The 19,882-nt window shown below is 39.7% G+C and overlaps 1 protein-coding gene and 1 long non-coding RNA gene across 7 annotated transcripts in view, besides 1 other annotated feature; one reads left to right on the top strand and one right to left on the bottom strand.

Moving 5' to 3' along the window:
- Positions 1 to 19,882, bottom strand: part of HMGA2 (high mobility group AT-hook 2) — a 141,832-nt gene that overhangs the window by 77,882 nt on the left and 44,068 nt on the right. The gene's annotated exons all lie outside the window — the stretch shown is intronic.
- The window catches only part of HMGA2-AS1 (HMGA2 antisense RNA 1), a 31,099-nt gene continuing 17,301 nt past the window's right edge, over positions 6,085 to 19,882 (top strand). For 2 of the 3 annotated variants that reach the window (NR_158985.1, NR_158984.1), the window contains exon 1: positions 6,085 to 6,692. This is a non-coding gene — a long non-coding RNA (HMGA2 antisense RNA 1). Of the gene's footprint in view, positions 6,693 to 6,831; positions 7,173 to 11,277; positions 11,536 to 14,220; positions 14,599 to 19,882 lie in introns of those variants that run through there. The other variant, NR_120478.1, reaches the window with a different exon arrangement.
- Positions 19,275 to 19,475: a silencer, noted in NCBI's record as "peak1770 fragment used in MPRA reporter construct". NCBI's record gives its function as "represses an SCP1 promoter by STARR-seq MPRAs in K562 erythroleukemia cells {active_cell/tissue: K562}" and the evidence as "EXISTENCE:reporter gene assay evidence [ECO:0000049][PMID:32103011]".

The raw sequence follows: 19,882 nt of genomic DNA, 5'->3' as shown, positions 1-19,882 counted from the left end.
CATCTTGGCTAGCTGCAACCTCCACCTACCGGGTTCAAGCAATTCTCGTGCCTCAGCCTCCGAGTAGCTGGGATCATAGGCGCACACCACTGCGCCCGGCTAACTTTTATATTTTTAGTAGAGACAGGGTTTCACCGTGTTGGCCAGGCTGGTCTCAAACTCCTGACCTCAAGTGATCCACCCGCCTCGGCCTCCTAAAGTGCTGGGATTACAGGTGTGTGCCACTGCACTCAGTCGGTTTGAAGGTTTCCTTTTAAGAACATATTTGTGCCTCCCTAACTCATAAACTATATCCTATGTTCCCAAACCGCTATGGAAAGGGGATTCATAACCTCAGGAACACCAATGGCTAGGGGGTTTGTGTGTGTCTGTGTGTGTGAGTGTGTGTGTATGAGAGAGATGGAGAGGAAATTCTAATAGAAAACTTAATGCAATCATCTAAAAGACACATTAATGCCTTGGAGTGATGGCAAGGAAGGGGCAATTAGATTAACAAACTCAAATGTTGTTGTCATTGCTTTTTTTTTTTTTTAATTTGCCTGTGGCAGGCTAATATTGGCTAGTAAGATATCTTACTGTAAAGCTCCTAATGACGCAACTCCAAAGAATCCTTAATATTTAATTATTTTAATTATAGAAGGTAAGATTTAACTATTGTTCTTTAAGATTTTTAAAATTTTACAAATCCTAACTGTAAATTTTTTTTCTTTTTGAGATGGAGTGCAAAGGCGTGATCTCGGCTCACTGCAATCTCTGCCTCCTGGGTTCAAGTGATTCTCCTGCCTCAGCCTCCTGAGTTGCTGGGACTACAGGCTCGCACCACCATGCCCAGCCAATTTTTGTATATTTTTAGTAGAGATGGAGTTTCACTGTGTTGGCCAGGCTGGTCTCGAACTCCTGACCTCAAGTGATCCACCGGCCTCAGCCTCCCAAAGTACTGGGATTATGGTACACGCCACCACACCAGGCTAATTTTCATATTTTTAGTAGAGACGGGGTTTTGCCATGTTGCCAGGCTGGTTTTGAACTCCTGACCTCAGGTGATCGACCCATCTCAGCCTCCCAAAGTGCTGGGATTACAGGGATGAAGCACTGTGCCTAGCCTAAGTATAAAATATTTTCCTTAATCCTCTTCCATATGGTGACTCATTGGAATGCCAGCTTGAAAAAGAATAGCCAAGATAAGGTTTTCATTGCCTTCATTGAACTGGCCTTAAACCAAGTCATCAAACTCTTTTGTCTTTGAAACGCCTCACTAAAATATCATCCATTTTATGAGGGGGGGAGTCAGCGTTTGTGTAATGAACTCTTTATAGAAAACGCATCATTTAAATTGTCAAATAGATAGGAGTTAGGTAATTGGCTTTCTATATTTTTGAGCCATGGGGAACATGCATTTCTTTCTAAATTAGCTCAGTCATTAATCCCAAGAATTTCATAACCTGTAGTTCAAGTCTTGCTTACTTATTAAGGGAAACTGAGGAAGGCAATGAATAAAACAGAAAATGTGGAATTCTATAGACTGTGCCTTGAAAAAGCAAGAGTATGTTCAAGATAAGATAGAGTGAAAGTGACCGCTGTGGGTTGGGTCTTGGCTGGTGGGTTGAGAAGCTTTGTCTGGAAATTTCTCTGGAAGTCAATGGTCTGGCCTGGTTGGATTCACACCTCCTTCCTCGAACACCTCTGTGTTGTCTTTTAGCTCACGTCCTTCTCAGTAATTCCCTGCAAGAATGATGAATCAAAAGAAGCTCCCCGCCGGGCGTTGTGTCTCATGCCTGTAATCCCAGCACTTTGGGAGGCCGAGACGGGCAGATCACATGGTCAGGAGTTCGAGACCAGCCTGGCCAATATGGTGAAACTCCATCTCTACCAAAACTACAAATATTAGCCGGGCATGGGGAGGACGCCTGTAGTCCCAGCTACTCAGGAGGCTGAGGCAGGAGAATCGCTTGAACCTGGGAGGTAGAGGTTGCAGTGAGCAGAGATTGCGCCACTGCACTCCAGCCTGGGCGATAGAGGGAGACTCGGTCTCAAAAAAAAAAAAAAGAGAGAAAAAGAAAGAAGCTCCCCGCGAGGAGGAAACAGGGACTAAGGGTGACAGGGAGTCCCTACCCTTAAGTGAAATGTGAGCTTGAAAGCAGCTTAAGAACAGTCTGGTCTAAATTCCACTCAGTCTCTTAACCTCTTAAATCTGTGTATCATTTAGTCAATGAACAGTTTTTAAGAATGGTGAAAATAAACCAACATATATAATATATATGTAAACCAAGTTTTCAAAGTCTGATCTTTTTCTTGATTCAGTTTAACCTAGTAATTTTTTTGTAAGTGAAAGTAAGTTTATTAGGAAAGTAAAGGAATACAAGAATGGCTACTCCATAGGCAGAGCAGCAGCTTGGGCTGCTGGACTAAGGATACCTAAAGTTATTTCTTGATTATATGCTAAACAAGGGGGTGGCTTATTCATGTGTTTTCCAGGAAAGGGGTGGGCAGTTCCCGGAACTAAGGGTTCCTCCCCATTTAACTGAGTAATTTCCCTCAAAACAAAACAAAATTTCATGGCATAGTTGATATCATCAGCTCAAATATTAAAATAATTTTGAAAATCTGACTCTCAAAGTCATTGGTTATAAAAATCTTTTCTTATCATTGTTGTTATTATTTGGACAAAAATTTGGGGAGAGGCAGCCTATCTTAAAACTACTTTTACCAAAGGCAAATGGCTTGAGATACGTGGCATGTGCTGTCAGGTGCATGAGCGATCCTGCTGCCACCAAGTAAACCATTTTCCAACATGTTATTTGTTCCCAGGGACTGCACACATTCCAGATGCTATCACCAGGGCTGCTAGTGCACAAGAAAATAAGCAAATGAGACACACATTGGCTCATGTGGCAAATCACCGGGTTTGCCAAATGGAAAAGAACAAAAACTTAGAGGGAAAACATTTTGTTTTTAATCTACAAGGATATTAATAAAACTAAAACCCAGCATTTTGTGGCTACATTTCCCAGGAAGACGAGTGTCTTCTGGCCAAAAGAACATAACAACAATCCTTTGTATCTGAGAAATATGTATCTCGTGATGTCATTTAAAAAACCCACTATTTATCATGATCAGGGCTGAAAACATGTTTCTCTAAGACTTGGGCACCAGAAAAAAAAGGAAGATAAATTCTACCTAAAATAATCTGTAATTCAGAGAAAATAAATTCAATGACTGTAATTTCATCTGTTATATGTCACAGCTTAATATCAAAAGCTTCTCTAGATAAAGTTCTAAGGAATAAATAAACAGAAACTACTTACTACAGAGCTAAAGAGAGGGTGAAGTACAAGAATGAAAATTTCTTAGAAGAGAAGACTTTCTATACAAATTTAATTTGTATACATGAGAGATGAAGGAAGCAAATTATATTATAGAATATCAATTAAAATAGAATCAATTGGAAGTCACAAGTGATTAATACAATTAATTAACACATATAGCACTATGTGCCAGGCGCAATTTGAAGCACTTTACATAATTAGCTCATTTAATATTCTCAACAACCATTATAATATGATGATACCATTTTCATTCCCAATTTGCAGCTGAGGCAACTAAGGCCCAGATAGATTAAGAAACGCGTCCAAGTTCATACAGGTAATGATTCTAGTACATATTAATCCAGATGAATCTAATTCACAAAATTTCAACAATACTAATAAATATTGAGAATTTAGAAGCATAATTCCATTAGGATATGAAAAATCTTAATAGAGAAATTTCACTTAGTAAATAATGCTATTTGGACTTTTTACCTTGAGGATACCAAATTACATGCATAAATGTACAAGTTTCCTTAGAGATAAAGACTAGTGCAAGTAAAGTTTAAATTTTGCCCTTGACAGCAAAAGTAGATATACTTGTGCATTAATATTGATCAGTCATTATCAATTGACCAGGCACAATTTGGTGAATATGTTAATTTTTCCCAACAGCCATGAGCATGCAAATACAGGCTGAGTGTCTGAAATGCTTGAGACCAGAACTGTTTTGCATTTCTGATTTTCTTCAGATTTTGGAATATTTGTCTTATACTTACCTCTTCAGCATCTCTAATCTGGAAATCTGAAATCCAAAATGTTCTTATGAGCAGTTCATTCAAATATCATGTAACTGCTCAAAAAGTTTTGGATTTTGGAAGATTTCAGATTTCAGGTTTTCAAATTAGGGATATTCAATCTGTATATAAAAAATATGAGAGCCAGATACGGTGGCTCACACCTGTAATCCCAGCACTTTGGGAGGCCGAGGTGGGTGGATCACTTGAGGTCAGGAGTTCAAGACCAACCTGGCCAACATGGCAAAATCTCATCTCTACTAAAAACACAAAAATTAGCTGGGCGTGGTGGTGCGCGCCTGTAATCCCAGTTACCCGGGAGGCTGAGGCAAGAGAATTGCTTGAACCTGGGAGGTTGGAGGTTGCAGTGAGCTGAGATTGGGCCACCGTACTCTAGCCTGGGCGACAGAGTGAGACTGCGTCTCAAACTAACAAACCGAACCACGAGATTATTTTTCCCAGTTTTCAATTGTGTCCTGAACTCTCTATCTTAAACAATGCATAGGTATGAAAATAACAACTGGTACATTGATTTTAATAGGGGAGAATTTATTTGGAAAGCAAGAATGTTTATTGTAAACTGTGCCTCTTTCTGGAAATATTTACAATTTTCAAAGAAGTGGCCTTAGCAAAACTGTTAGTACAGCCCTTGATTTGCAGGTGAAAAAAAAGCAGTGCATAGACATTAACCTAAATTCAAGTTAGGATTAAGGTCAACATTAAGGGGTAAGCAGGACATAGCACAGTGACTAAGTGCATAGGAGCATTTATTAGCTGAGTGATCTTGAACAAGTTATTTAACTTCTCTCTAAGTCTCACTTTCCTCATCACAAAAGGAAGAAATATTTCATAAGGTTGTTGTGGAAACTGAGGTAATATATAGACAGTACTTTGCACAATACCAGACACCCAGTAAGGGCTCAAGAAATGGTATTGTTGTTATCCTTATCTTTAACAAGTGATTCACAACCAGTTAGTGTCAGAACAGGATGCAAAGCACTTTTGGAGTATCTGTTGCTATAAACCGAGTTCCTTATCCTTTGCATCTATCTGGGTCTAAGGAGGCAAGATCACATAGCATTAACATTTTCCACAAATGTGGTGTGATCCATCGCCTTTCCTCTTCTTTCACCCCTAGAGTAAGCCTTCAGCCTCTTAGGAAGTGTTTTCCATCAGAATTTAGCTTTGAAGTTGAACATTTTAAACTCTGTTGGGAAGGTTCAGACGCACATTGACAAAGAAGATAAACAAAGAGTCAGGAAATCTAAACGGGGAAGATGCCATGGCTCACATTACCTGCTTCCTCCTAGTTGGAGTTGAGCTCTTCCTGGAAGCGGGGCAGAGTCTGCCATTTGATTAAACAATTCAACATCAAAGCTGAACAAAAACATATAATCAATCTGATCTTAATTCAAGTGTGCCTACCCCTCCTTGTGAAAAGCAGCCTTGTTTTAAAAAATATTTCCCTAGCAGATCAGGTATTTTTGAACAACTCCCTATCGTTTCTGCTTCACTTCCATCTCAAGTTCTGGTTCACATAACTAGCCAACATTTACTGAGGGCCCATTAAGTGGCCAGGCATTGTGCCAAGTGCTTTGTTTATGCTTTCTCATTTAATTGTCACAACAACCCTTAGAGGTATTTTCTCATCCCCATTTTACAGATGAGATGGAGGCTGGGGAGAGTAAGTCACTTGTCCAGGGTTACACTATTAAGAGCTGAGCGATTAAAACCAAACAGCAGTGGGGACAGGCCCTCAGGAGACATTTCTACTCCTGGCTTGGTCACTGCTCAGATACGTCACATGTCTTCTAGGCCTCAGTTTCCCGGCTTGGAGAGGATGCAGCCTCTCTAGAAGTTCCCTTCCACAGCCTGCGGCAGCTTCCCAGGGCGGGCGGGCTGCTTTGTTTCCACACTCAGCTGCTGTGGCTGGGGCCTCCCTGGGCTCTGCCCTGTTTTGTTTTTGCTGCTGGACCTGCTACAGACGCAACCCTGGCAGCGCAGCCCGGAGCACAGCCGAGGCTTCCTCTTTCTCTCAGTTCCTGGCTGCTTCAGTATGAACAGAAAAGGTGGGCAGGGGCCAACTGGCAGGAGCCTCCGAAATAGCAGCACATGATCCTCCTACCAGCAGCAGAAAGGCCAGCCCGCAAGACCTCGCCGCCTGCCCAGCTCTGTCATTGACTAAGGTTGCTTTTGTCAGTACAGCCGCCAGGGGTTTCCACGCTCATTCCCCTCCGGACAAGGTGGACAGCTTTGGTGATAGACAACTGGGAGGTAAAACTCCACAGAGCCATGCCAGCGACTGACCGCCCAGGGACAGGAGATGGAGACGTTCAGCTGCAAAGGCTACGGAGGAACCCCCGCAATTGGAATCTCTCCATGCCTTCTGCAGCATGGAAACATACTCCGGGACCTACCGGGGCTCTCTCGGGCCACCTCTGAGTGCAAGGGAAAAGAGTGCAGTTCAAGGAAGGGAATGTGTCTGTCATCCCACCACTTGCGCGCAAGGCCAGTTCCGGGATCAGCAGGCTTCCTTCACCAGCACGGGCTCTTCATTAGCAACCACTGGGAGGGAATGTGTGCGGAGTCAGTGAGTGAAGCTCTCCTTCAGCAATTTCTCTCCTCCTCTCATATTTCTCCCCTCTCTCTCTCTCTTTCTCCCTCCCTCCCTCCCTCCCTCCTTCGCTCCCTCTGGGTCCAGGACAATACTCAGGCCAGGACAGTTCCAGTCATAACTGGATCTTTCCATTACTTGGTAGCACACAGGAGGATTTGTTGGAGTGGTTTTTTGTTTTGTTTTGTTCTGCTACTATTAAGCAAGATTGCTTCATAATCCTTTAAGGGTTTTTTTTAGCCAAGTCTTATTTACATATCCTGGCCAGCAAGCACGTGATTAACCCAAGGATGTTGGAGGGAAGGCAGATGCTACATCTGAAAAAAATCTGATTATGTTTCATTCTGGAGATACAAACAGCCGAGCTGTCAAAAGGACAACAGTCTCTTGGGCCAACATGACACCAAACTCTCAAACTCTGGAGACCCTCAGAGACAAGGAGGAGGAGCTGCTGAGGTAGGGGCACAGATGCGAGGAGTTCTTCTCCCTCTCTCCTTCTCTTTCACTATCTCCACTTTGGGGGCAAAGTGTCAGGATAGCCAGAGGTACACATAATCTAATACATGGAAATGGTGGTAAACTGCCTGTCAATTCACCGCACCACCATAATATGTCTAAAATGTGGTGCCTGTCTACAACTTACATGCCACCCAGAAAACAAGCTGCACTGGCATTTCTGCATTGACAGAAAGGACATTTGAAAATTTTCCCTACAGGCATTATTTCAACTGATATTTACGAGTGGTTTTATGGGATAGAATCGTGCCAGTCATATCAAGGAACTTTTCATATCTTTCAACCCATGCTAAGATAAATAGAGCCAGTTATGATTATTCTCATTTCTTGAAAGGTACCTAATGATCCACCAGAAAGTTAAATGAATCCTCACTTATCAGAGGAATTTTTTTTTTAAGTAAAAGAAACCTAAACCCCAAGACCTAGACTCCTGGAATAAGAATCTCTTTACCAGTGAAAATTCTTAAACATTAAATAAGCATTTACCGGGAGATATCGATGAGGTCTTAACTGTACATTGTCTGATTCTGAGGCAAAACATACAAATACAAACACTGAACTAGTACTTCTAACTCATCCTTCCATGCTACCTGCTGTGTGACCTTAAGCAAGTCATTTATCTTCCCTAAGTATACATTTTGTTATCTTTAATATACAGGGACTGTGTTTGAGGTCTCTAATTTCCCATATAGCTCTAAAATGAAATATTTGTTTAATGAAAGAATCTATTAACATTGTCAACAGCAGTTTTTATTTTAATCTTTAAATACAAAGGGCAACACGTGTTTCATGGCACAAAAATCCTTCATTGCCATAACCTCTGAGAGAAATATTTTTGCAAAGTTTTCTTGCTCTTCTTGGGAAAAAACAATCATGCCATTAGGTTCTGTGAGTGAGGAGATGCCAGTGATACAGGATGAGGGATAGAGGTTTTATTTATTTGCTTTGACCTGAAATGCTTTCAAAGTGCTAGGATTTTCCCCGTGAAAAATGCTTTGCTTCTAATATTATCTCCAGTGATCAAGAGTTAGTGTCAAAGGTTTGTGAATGGATTTCAGAATGTGCAAGTGGCACCTCCCATCGTTAGCTGTCTACATTTTTTTATAACCACTTGCATACTTTTGGTCAACCACTGTAAAATAAACAGTCCTTCTCAAATGTTTTTGTTTTCTTTGACAGCACAGCAATAATTCACTTGGAATGCTGCAGAATAGAATAGCACTTTAATGCTGTTGTAAGGATGGCTTTTATGATTTCTATTCATCGAGTTGTTTTTAAGTTAAAAGATACCAGACTGAAAAGAACATAAATCCCTGTGGAGATATGTTATGCTTAGATCTTTGCACCCTGTTCCCACCCAAGGATATATACATAGAATATATGTATAAACACACATCCACATATGCATAAATATATGTGTACATATACGCTCAATATAGACATTTAACACAACATTCACCTAAAGTGTTTACTGTTTTTGTTTTTGTACTTTTGTTTTAAATTTGAGAAGTATAGCATCTAGATTATAGTAGAGTTTTGTGTTCATGCAAATGAAGATGTAAATTAATGTTTATTCCTACCTAGAAAAGTTTCAGGAAAAAAATGTCATAACACACTTTTGCTTACTTGGTACATACTCTTGTTCTCTTTTTTCTGGCCATGCACTTACTAAATATGAAGTTTAGAAGAAAAAAACTTTATATATAGTTTGTTTCAAATTTGATATATTTTAGTTAAAAGTGCTTTATTGCCAGGCATGGTGGCTCACACCTGTAATCCCAGCACTTTGCGGGGGCCAAGGTGGGTGGATTGCTTGAGCCCAGGAATTCGAGACCAGCCTGGGCAACATGGCGAAGCCCCATCACTACCAAAAAAAAAAAAAAAATAGCTGGTATGGTGGCACATGCCTGTAGTCCCAGCTACTTGGGAGGCTGAGAAGGGAGGACCACCAGAGCCTGGGAAATCAAGGCAGCAGTGAGCCGTGATCATGCCACTGCACTCCCGCCTGGGCGACAGAGCTAGACACTGTCTCAAAAATAAAAAAAAGTCTTTATTTTTTTTCTTTCAGGGGAATGGTTGATTACTGTCTCAGATGTACATACCAGAATTAAGTTTATACCTATGTGTCAAAAATGGAAGGATGAAAATTGACTTGAGAAACTGCACAGTTTCTGTGCAACATTATATAGGATATCTTTACAAAGGACAACATTCGAAGCAAGAAATTGGAGCTTAGGCAGTATTACACTTTCTATCTTACCTATACTACTCTCTGAGAAACCCATTTCTAGCCTGTACAGCATAGCTTGTAAACTGTGATCTTCGACTAGTATGAATAAGTCTTGTGTTGAGTTTAATTTCAGAGGCCGGGAGTTTATCAGCTGAGCCATCTCACCTGCATTCCTTGCAAGTCATTAGAGCCTTAGATGCCTGGCTTGGCTTTGGGCTTCTCCAGCAGAGAGCAGTGAAACACTGTCAATAAACCTAATTCTGGAAACCAGAGTAGATTCCAAGTTGGGAAAAAAGCAAAGGCAGAACTAGCAGGCTCATCAGAGTTATAAAGAAACTGGGGAAACTGGGCTTGTAGATTTTTTAAAACAGATATGTGTTGAAACTTTGATGTCAATATTAATGGCAATACACATATTTAGATATTTAAATGTTATTCAAAATATCACTTCATAGCAAGGTAGATGACCCAAAAGAAAAAGTGTGCGCTTTCCAAAATTTGCTTCTTATTTTAATCCTGCAATTGCTATACAGTTACACGTTTATTAGCTTTACTATTACACATGTATTAGGTCATTTCCATTTGCATTCAGTGTTAGAACAATGTCAGCTCTTCAATCCCAATCTCTGGCTACCTAGCTTGGCAGTTCTTCAAGCATCCCTTGTTTACAGGGACCACTTGGAAAGTCAAGTATGTTATAACAAGTTTATGCATCCTCATTCTACAAGAAACGTTGTTGCAGAGAACCATTTTAAGAAGCTTAAAAACAGTTTTCTATGGCTCCAGTTCAAAATGGGGTTCATAGTGGGGATGTGTGAATGGCGCTTCCAGGTAAAATGATTTATTATTACATTACACATGAACTTGTTAACAGTATAACACAAAAGTGTGAACACTCCCCAGGACACCTCACCCTTGGCTGGGGTGCAAGTAGGTTCTTCTCCTTTCAATCAACAGTAGCATGATGACAGAGAATATTAGTGAATGCAGTATGTTCATGCTTGGCTGCTCTTAAAGAAAAAATTTTCACAAAAGGAAATATGAGCGTTTACAATCCCATGATATGGAACATAGGATCTGACCTGTTTACTTCTCTTGGATGACAAATAATTTAATCTATTAATTTTTTTTTTGAAGCAAAGACAAAAGGGAAGAGGCCTAAAAAAAAAACCAGGCAGGTCATCCATTGCTCCATTGACGTGGGAGATAATACCCTATGTATAACCAGTGACTTGAAGAGTTCTCATTCTGAAACTTTTTTGCTCTCTTCAAAGCACTGGGCTCAAATGCTAGCCTCTGTGTGCAGGCTGCCAAAATACTAAGTGAAGCATGGGGCACTACACATTAAAGGGGAAAGGTCAGCATGGCACCATGCCCAAAATGCATGCTGTACAGCGGGATGAACTTTGGAGAGACCAGCTCACATCAAGTCACCGTGTGTTTTACATTCTCCCAGTGACCGGGGTCATTTTACCTCCCATTGGAATCTCCTCTCAGCCATTATGTCTCCCAGTTCTCAAAGGAAAACCTCTCTCCTTGACCCCTCCTAAGGCCTCTCTGCACAGTACCATTCTAGCAAAAAGGAACAGCTCCAAGCCAGGAAACTACTTCCACAGGGCAAATAAAGCTTCTGCCAGAACTCCTAAAGGCAAAGCTTCCCTGCTGCTGCAGCAGCCAGCAGACGCAGGGCTGCATTGCTTGGGAAAGTGCAGCCTGCCGCTCCACGTCAACATTCCACCCCCTTAGCTTTTCCCAAGGTCTCAGTGAGAAAACCTTTCTTTTTTCTTTCTTCATTTTTGTTTTTGTTCTTATCAGTTCAAACAAGAACAATGAATTCCTCAAGCCCAAGCAAGAATGTGACAAGGTGTCAACAAAGCCAACCAGGAAGGTGATGTATGGCCCATAAATCACTTCACAAACCAGGGCTGCAAAGAAAGCACCCAGCAACCCAGAGCCCCGAGTGTGAGTTTTTTCTACTCCTAAACCTTCACACCCCCCACATCCACCCTCCTCCAGCACCTCACTGACTGCTCACCTGTCACTCCTCCACTGACCAATTGGCCTACTCATGGGGTAAGACAAGTTCTGTTCCTTCTGTGGCAAATACTGGGCATCTATGGTAGAGCACCACATAATATAATGTGCTTTAGGGACATGTGTTGCTATGGGGTATGGTTTCCGGAGGCTGTCTGGAAAGCTCTACTCAAAACCTTAATTTGAAAGGTTTATAAATGGTGAAAGTATTTGTTCTTAGAGTAAAAATTTGATTTAGAAAGTTTGGGCTTAAGTGGTGAAATGATTTTATGGTTTTCAAAAATCAGAGGCCAGAAATTGTTTTGCGTGCTTTATAAATGATATAAAGAGAAATGGAGAACAACCAAATTAGAATCTCTTTCTGGGGTTGTAGGATTTGGTTTTCTTGAAAGAAATATTGAATGTATAGTTGTGTACATATTAAGATTAGGAAGAGAAAGAGTATTCACAATTGCCTTATGCAAAGTAACTTATTGGCTAATAGAAAATTACCAAATATTTTCTTTCACTGTTTTAATAGATGTGACTAATTATACTTTTTATGCCATGGTTTCAGAGTGAGTATATGGTGTAAATTCCTAATGCAAAAACTCCTGAAAAGATTTAAATTCAAATGACTAATTTTCAGCAACTCAGTATCCATTCTGTGAGCTTCTATTTTTTTTTCTATATATACATTTTTTTTTTGAAAAAACAGGCCTTAAATACATATTTAACTAACAGGCTGGAACAGCTAAGTAAATCATTTATAAACACAGATTTATATAATGGAATGACCTGTACCTACTACATTCCTATATAACCAGTTTAGGAGAAAAAGCAAAAACTTCCAAAGAAGCAATTTTGTTGAAAACTGAAGACATCAACAAAGAGAAAACCTCACCAATCCCCATGATAATGGTGACCAAGTTCAGTCTAGTTGAATGCAGTTTCATTTCTTTCCTCCAACCACTTTTAAAAAAAATCAGATTCTAAAAATAGCTGAAGAAGCAGAGATGAGCTCATTCTCTACTAAGTAACCTTGCACATTCTCTAATGATAGTAAAAATAATTCAAAGAAAAAAAGCAAATAAAAAAAGAAAAACATCCACCAAGTTGGTAGTTCAAACTCACAGAAAGTTGACTAATGGCATACGTAGGCCTACTATTAAAAAACCAGACAAGGCCGGGCACAGTGGCTTACGCCTATAATCCCAGCCCCTTGGAAGGCCGAGTCAGGCGGATCACCTGAAGTAAGGAGTTCAAGGCCAGCCTGGCCAACTTGGTGAAACCTTGTCTTTACTAAAAAAAAAAAAAAAAAAAAAAAAAAAAAAAAAAAAAAAAATAGCCGGGCACGGTGGCATATGCCCGCAATCCCAACTACTTGGGAGGCTGAGGCAGGAGAATGGCTTGAACCCGTGAGGTGGAGGTTGCAGTGAGCTGAGATCACACCACTGCACTCCAGCCTGGGCAACAGAGAAAGACTTTGTCTCAAAACAAACAAACAAACAGACAAAACTGAATATATGAAAATCTGAATAAAATATTTCTTTGCAACACAGTATAGTCTTTGAAATAATAAACTAACAGTTGTCATAAACTGCAAGCTCTAGTGTATGTAAATAGATCACCTTAGAATAGTATCATTTACTCACTCAGGAACACAGCTATTCAATTAAATAAAATACATCTGGTATTATTGCCAGTAAGACAAGCAAAGCAAGCAGGTACTGAGCCACTGTCAGTATATTTTCTCATATGAGAATAGGGGAGTAAAAATTAATTTGGGACTACTTTGGGACAATTACTTGTATTAACTCTAATAAATATAAGCATTTCTTTTTATTTTTACATCTGTGATTAAACAAAACAAGACAAAACCCATTATGGCCATAGCATCAAGCTACATGATAATTCTAAAAGGGTATTACTGGGGGGGCGGGGAACCTTTCTGGTTGAATAAAGGGAGATGAGAAGATAAAATAAGTACTGCAGATGTGTGAGATCCCAATTTTCTTGCTCTGGAAAAATCTGTAGAAAGAGCTACATCTGTCTCAAAATGTGACTCTCTTTTTCTGAGATGGAGCACCAAACTGGAAAAGGGAGAGATGAGCCCATTGGGGCAAATCTTTAAACTCTTCTACTATTTTTAAGCGTACTTGTGAAAATGTTTACCTGTATGTATACATACAGAAAAACAAATGAGTTTGAACTATGATTATCCATTACTTTATTTTTTTAAAAAAGATATCTTGCCAAGTCTTAAGGTGGTTCTGCGGGTAAATCAGGGTAGCAAGCTGCTTATTATAAAGCAGCTTGAAGAACAAGTACATAGAGGTCACCTGCACTCACTTCAACAACCCTAGAGAGGCACCTGGAGTCACACTACACCTCCTTCTGAAAAGATTCTAAACAATTTCTAAAGGGCACCACATCTTCAAATGGTTTCCCTCCTGCTGGAAACCTAGGCTTTGTTGTATGAGCGTAATTCGTTACCACTGAAAAGAAGATGATTAAAATTTCTTGAGTATTCACCTCACATCATTAAAGGTTTTTATATATATTTTCACTCAATGTGTCTCAGCAAGACTGACAAAGTCTTCAACTAAGTAGTAGACTTTATATAGCTTTAAATTCTGTGTATTACATATATCTATTATTTATATAGCTTTATTATTTATATTATATATTTATTAATTTACATTTTAAGTTTATAAAACAAAAATAAGTTTTCTTTTCTTGTAGGTGATAAATGAGATCTATGAAACTGTAAAGGATAAATTCTTACTCTTATTCCCAACAAGCTGGTGTCAACAATAATGCATACAAGGAAGAAAACATAATTGAAAAATTAGTACAAATTTGCTTCTGTTTTATTGTCCACTCATTCAGCAGATGTTTATCCAGTGTGTGCAAAGTGCAATAGTAGGCTATAGAGAGATAAAAAACAAAATCTCACTAACTGTGGGCCATTAATTGGCATACCTCAAACTGCCCTATATTGTTACCTACCTTTTTTGGTGTCTGATTTTTGAATTCCATAAGGACAGCGACCATATGTTAAACCTCCATGTGTGCCTGCTCTTTTCAGTCATCTAATAAATGATTCTGCCATTATTGTTACTCTTGTGCAAGCACGGGCAAATACCACAAGCAAGACTTGAAAACAAATCCTCAGTTCCCTGTCTTTAACAATGAATTTTGTGAGGATGAATATAATAAAATATAACAGAGTAATGTGATAATGGTCACATTTAAATATATGTATGTATCTACATACATATATGTATACACATCATAAAACACATGTAGACATGCTTTATATATCTTACTTTCTACCAAGCTCTTTTCATATTTATAAGGGAAATTAAAGTATAATATATGTGGTTCACTAATAGTGACACTGGACATCTCTCCTCTTTTCCTTCTTTCTTTTTTTCTAAAATAAATACTATCCTCCAATCCCACTGGTGCATTTGACTTCATGAATGACTATCTATAGCCATCTACACTTAGCCTAGATTCAGTACGAAAAAAATATTGAGAAAAGGAAATAAGCCATTTCTGCTGATGGCTGCCGTATTTGGTGCTGAAAGCATTATTTATTTGTAACACACCAGACAACAGAACCTAGAGAGCTCATGGTACAGGTGCAGACACATGGCTTGGACACATTCATTCTTTGGATACTTTTTATAAGACACACACTATGCTCTGTATTGAAAATACAAAGATAGATGAGACATAGTTTCATGCATGAAAAACATGTAAACAAATAATTATAGTAGACGGGTAAAAGTCCTTTACCTCAGGTGTGTGCAAATTCCCATGAGGCAAACAGGAAGGAAATAATTTCAAGAGAGGTTGGCGGGGGCACCGTATTTGAACTGGGTCTTGGGAGATGTGTTGAGATTGGTCCAAATGGAAGTAAAGGTAAAGACTATACCAACCAGAGCACAGATGTGAAAGACCTAATGGAAGTTTCAGAAAAACGGGTCTTTCTGTCCTAAGGAAGTGAAGATTTCAACTGGTGGGTAGTAGGAGGCAAGATTAGAAACTAGGCCCAATGCTATAATCAACATAAGAAGTTCAGACTTCCTTGGGTGAATGGTAGTCATTGAAAATGTTTGGCAGGAGAGTGATAAAGTGTCTGTTCTGAAGAAAACACTTGCAGTGATAATGGAGGTAAGCTGGACAAAGAAAAGTAGAGGCGGCAGGAAAACTAGTAGGAGGCTGGTGCAAATAGTTTAAGTGAGAGATGATAAAGACTTGTACAAAGAATGTGGCAGTGGGAATGTAGGAAAAGAAAACTCAAAACATATAGCTCCAGGCACCTTTAGGAGTAATAAATGGCAGAACTTTGCAAATGTTGAAAATGGAGACTGACAAGTCAAGGATGACCGGGTGTATGATGGCACTCAGATAAGCTACGAATACAGTCAGTCAATGCAGGCAGTGACTGAAACACAGATACCACAGAGCTAACTCAGAATGAACACATGGAATGAAAAATAGAGGACCTCAGATATAACCCTGGAGACGAGCGACGTGCAGAGGGCAGGTAGAGAAAGAAGAGCCTCCCGGGTGCAAGGAACTTCTTGACAAGAGAAGAAACACAGGACAGGTTTACCTTCAGGCATCCAAGGAAGGCAAGTGTGAAATAAGGAGGCACGGCTGATGTGTCAGATATTTCAGAAGAGACATCAGGACGGGGACTGAGAAGTGTCCCCTGGATTTGGCAGTTAAGAGGTTACTGGCAACCTTATTTAGAGGATTTTGTGTAGGGGGACCCTAGGAAGGATGAAGGGGGCAGAAGCCAAGTCACACTAGGCTCCGGACTGGATGAAAGATCTGGAGCATATGTTTCATTTGGCTGGCATCCTGTTGCCTCCCTGCCACTTCAGACTGGCTTCAGTCTAACAAGGACAGGCTGTCACACCTTTTGCTATGCCCACAGACCCCTAAACCCAAGAAAGTGATGATGCAGTGGAGCACAAAGCTACAAAGCACAGAAGGCAATTGGTTATTTTCTGCGGCATCAGCCTATCAAATAGGAAAATTAAATATATTGTTGGTAATCAAAGATTATTCTGCTATTGCCAAGCCTTTCTGAGGAAAACTAACAGAGTAAAGTATGGGCAGAAGTCAAACTGGAAGTGATTTTTAAGAGGTCTTAAGAAGCCCATGTGACATTGTTCTGTGCATCTGACAGCCTGAGTGTGAACTAAAATGGAATCTGCCTAGGAAAGGAATGTAGTTCTCTCACCTAGAGGGAAAACCGCACCTTCAGAATCCCCATAGGAAGGGGATATAGTAATGGAGAAAACATTTTCTGCTTCATTATTCTTTAGCCTCGAGAATCTAGATATAGAACATTCAAAATTCTCATGAGAAGGAAAACAAATAATACCTGGAGGCCAAGCTAAAGGTGTCTTGCTTCTACTAATGAACTTAAATTCATTTTCCATTCACACACAAAAGGAAGAAACCTATATAAATGGATTAAGAGGGCCAGAAAGACACAATAGAGCAGGAGTCAGCAACCTTCTTCTCTTAAGGGTTGGAGAGTAAATAATTCAGGCTTTGTTGGGCAGACGGTCTCTGTGGCAGGTACTCAGCTCTGCCACTGTAGTAGGAAAGCAGGTATAGACAATACGTGAACCAATAGGTGCGGCTGGGCCCAGGAATACTTTATTTGTTGATACTGAAATTTGAATCTTACATAATAAATATTATTATTCTTTGTTTCAACCATGTAAAACTGTATAAATCTGTATTATAAACACATATCTTAAAAGCTGACTTCTAAAGAAGAAAATTAGTGTAGCAAGTAATTATGATGCATTGGTCATTAGACTATGGCTTCTGACTGAGCCTACGTTTTTTCTAAATCATGTCGGATTTGACCTGTCATTCTCTTGCTTAGAAATCTTTAATAGCTTCCCATTTCCTGTAACATCCAATCTCCTTAAGCATGTATGCACGGCCCCTGTGACCTGCTACCACAAAGCGTTTAGGTTCACTGTCCACATCCACCCCCTCACCCATGGTATGTCTCTAATGTACACTATCCAATCCAAACTAGCTGCTCTTACCTAAATACACCCTACATTTCCCTGCCTCCATTGATTTACTCCTACTTTTCACATGACATGGAAGTCCCTGTCCCAGGGATGTCATCTTCCAGCTGTTTTGTTTTGTTTTGTTTTTAGATGGAGTCTCCCCCTGCCCAGGCTAGAGTGCAGTGGCACGATCTCGGCTCACTGAAACCTCAACCTCGTGGGTTCAAGTGATTCTCCTGCCTCAGCCTCCAAGTAGCTGGGATTACAGGCATGTGCCACCACGCCTGGCTAATTTTTGTATTTTTAGTAGAGACGGGCTTTTGCATGGTGGCCAGGCTGGTCTCGAACTCCTGACCTAAGGTGATCTGCCTGCCTCGGCCTCCCAAAGTGCTGGGATTACAGGTGTGAGCCACCACGCCTGCCCCCAGCTGTTCTATTAGAATCCTATTCATTCTTTAGGGCTCAGCTGAAGTGTCATTCATCTCCTTTGTAAAGCCTTCCTTATTTTACCTAGTTGGAATAAAGGCTTCACATATTGTTTTTTACTATTTACATTTTGGCAAAAATATTTCGAAAACCACTACCTTACAAGGCTCGTACAAGGTTAAATAATAAATCAAGACAATGTTCATAATGTGCTCAGCCTAACACCTGACACATAGTTGAAATTCAAAAATAAACAGAAGTTGTATGCACATGCATATCTACCCCTAGACTGAAAGGTCTTAAAGCTAAGGACCATATTGTGTTTACTTATACACAGACCTGTAACAATGACCTGTATATACATACGTTGTATTCAACAAATGTTTATTGAATATAGCTGGAATATTGTGCACTACTTTTTTTTTTTTTGCAAATCATGACCAATACTTTTAATCCTAAAGCTAAGTGTGAGAAGGGCTGAAAAACTGTTAAGATTTTTTATAACCTTTCTAACTGGGTTGGCCACATGGAGCAGAAAATCATGGACTTTAGAGTCTGACAAACCTGGGTTCAAAATTCAGTTTTATTACTTTCTAGCTTGTGTATCTGTGCAAGTCACTTTAATTTTCTGAGACTTGTTTTCTTCATTTATACAACTGTCAATAAAATATGTTTTTAAAGGTGTATTTTGAGGTCTCTAGAACAATGCCAGGCTTGGTAGGCATTTAATAAGTACTGGCTAAGAATATTAAACAGGATTGTGTTTAAATACTCCCATTCATATTACCTACATTGTGAAACACTGTCAAAATGGTATATACCAGAATAAAATGTGAATTGTATTTTTTGACCATTCTTTCTTAAATACATAAGGAGAGCTGCTATCTCTAGCCCATTTTGTGGGAAAGAGTCAGTGCAATGGAGGGTGGTTCACTATGATCCCTAAGAATTGACCCCACTGACAGCACCCTCTTTGACTTTTCCCTGCTAACTTCAGCAGGTAGCAAGAGGGGAGCATGGGCTATGGTGTCAGATTAATTGAGGCTCCATCAACCACCCAGATGGAATTTTAGGAGCTATGGTAATTCCTATCTGCTGGGTAGGGTTCCTGAAATACAACCATGGTGTTTCATTTCCTAGTTGTTGCTGTCGTCTTTCTGAGTTGCTCTGTGATCCACCATATTCCTTCTCTAATCTTGCTTTGATTTATGAATGTACATGATGATGGTGATGGTAATTTCCTAATTTAAATGATAAATACTCGAACTAACTTGGCCCAGAGAACCCTACCAAAAAAAGGAATCAATGAGTCAGATCCTTAGAAAACAGTTCCTAGAGTCATTCTAGCTAATCTTTTCATCAGTTGAGAGTTTTGCAAAGGGGTTTCTGCCTCATTGACCAAGAAAGTGTAGCGGCTTACCAATGCCAACCTCTTAAAGCATAAGTAGAGGAAATCAATGGTAACCTGCTAACCTCAGTTCTACGCAATGCATTGGCAGTTTGGGACAGCATTAATGTTTATAATATGACCTTGTCTACATTTGGGGTTTGGCACAAATTTTTACTTTACTTCTCAACTTCAAAATTTGATGATTCCATTATTTTGTCAAAAATAACCAATAAATACCACTAATCACTTAGTTGACAACTTATTAAAATTGATGCTAACAGTTCCTATAGATTCTAGTGAGAGTTTAAATGAAAGAGTTAGGTAGAAACAGGCAAGACTGATAGTACCTGGATTTTTCTGCTATGTCATGATTCCACAAACCATCCTTTAAGATGCACTGAATTGGATAAGAACCATGGAGAAAATGGTGATTATGTACAAATGGTGATTATGTATAAAAAGAAACTCTTGCTTCACATTTTCTCCATATTCAACGTAGGTGGTGCTTTGGGCCCAAGTGAGGTGACTC

This window comes from Homo sapiens, chromosome 12 (assembly GCF_000001405.40).
Source record: "Homo sapiens chromosome 12, GRCh38.p14 Primary Assembly".
NCBI lineage: Eukaryota > Metazoa > Chordata > Mammalia > Primates > Hominidae > Homo > Homo sapiens.
Note: the sequence above shows the minus strand (reverse complement) of the source record. Positions and strands in the feature narration are given on the sequence as shown.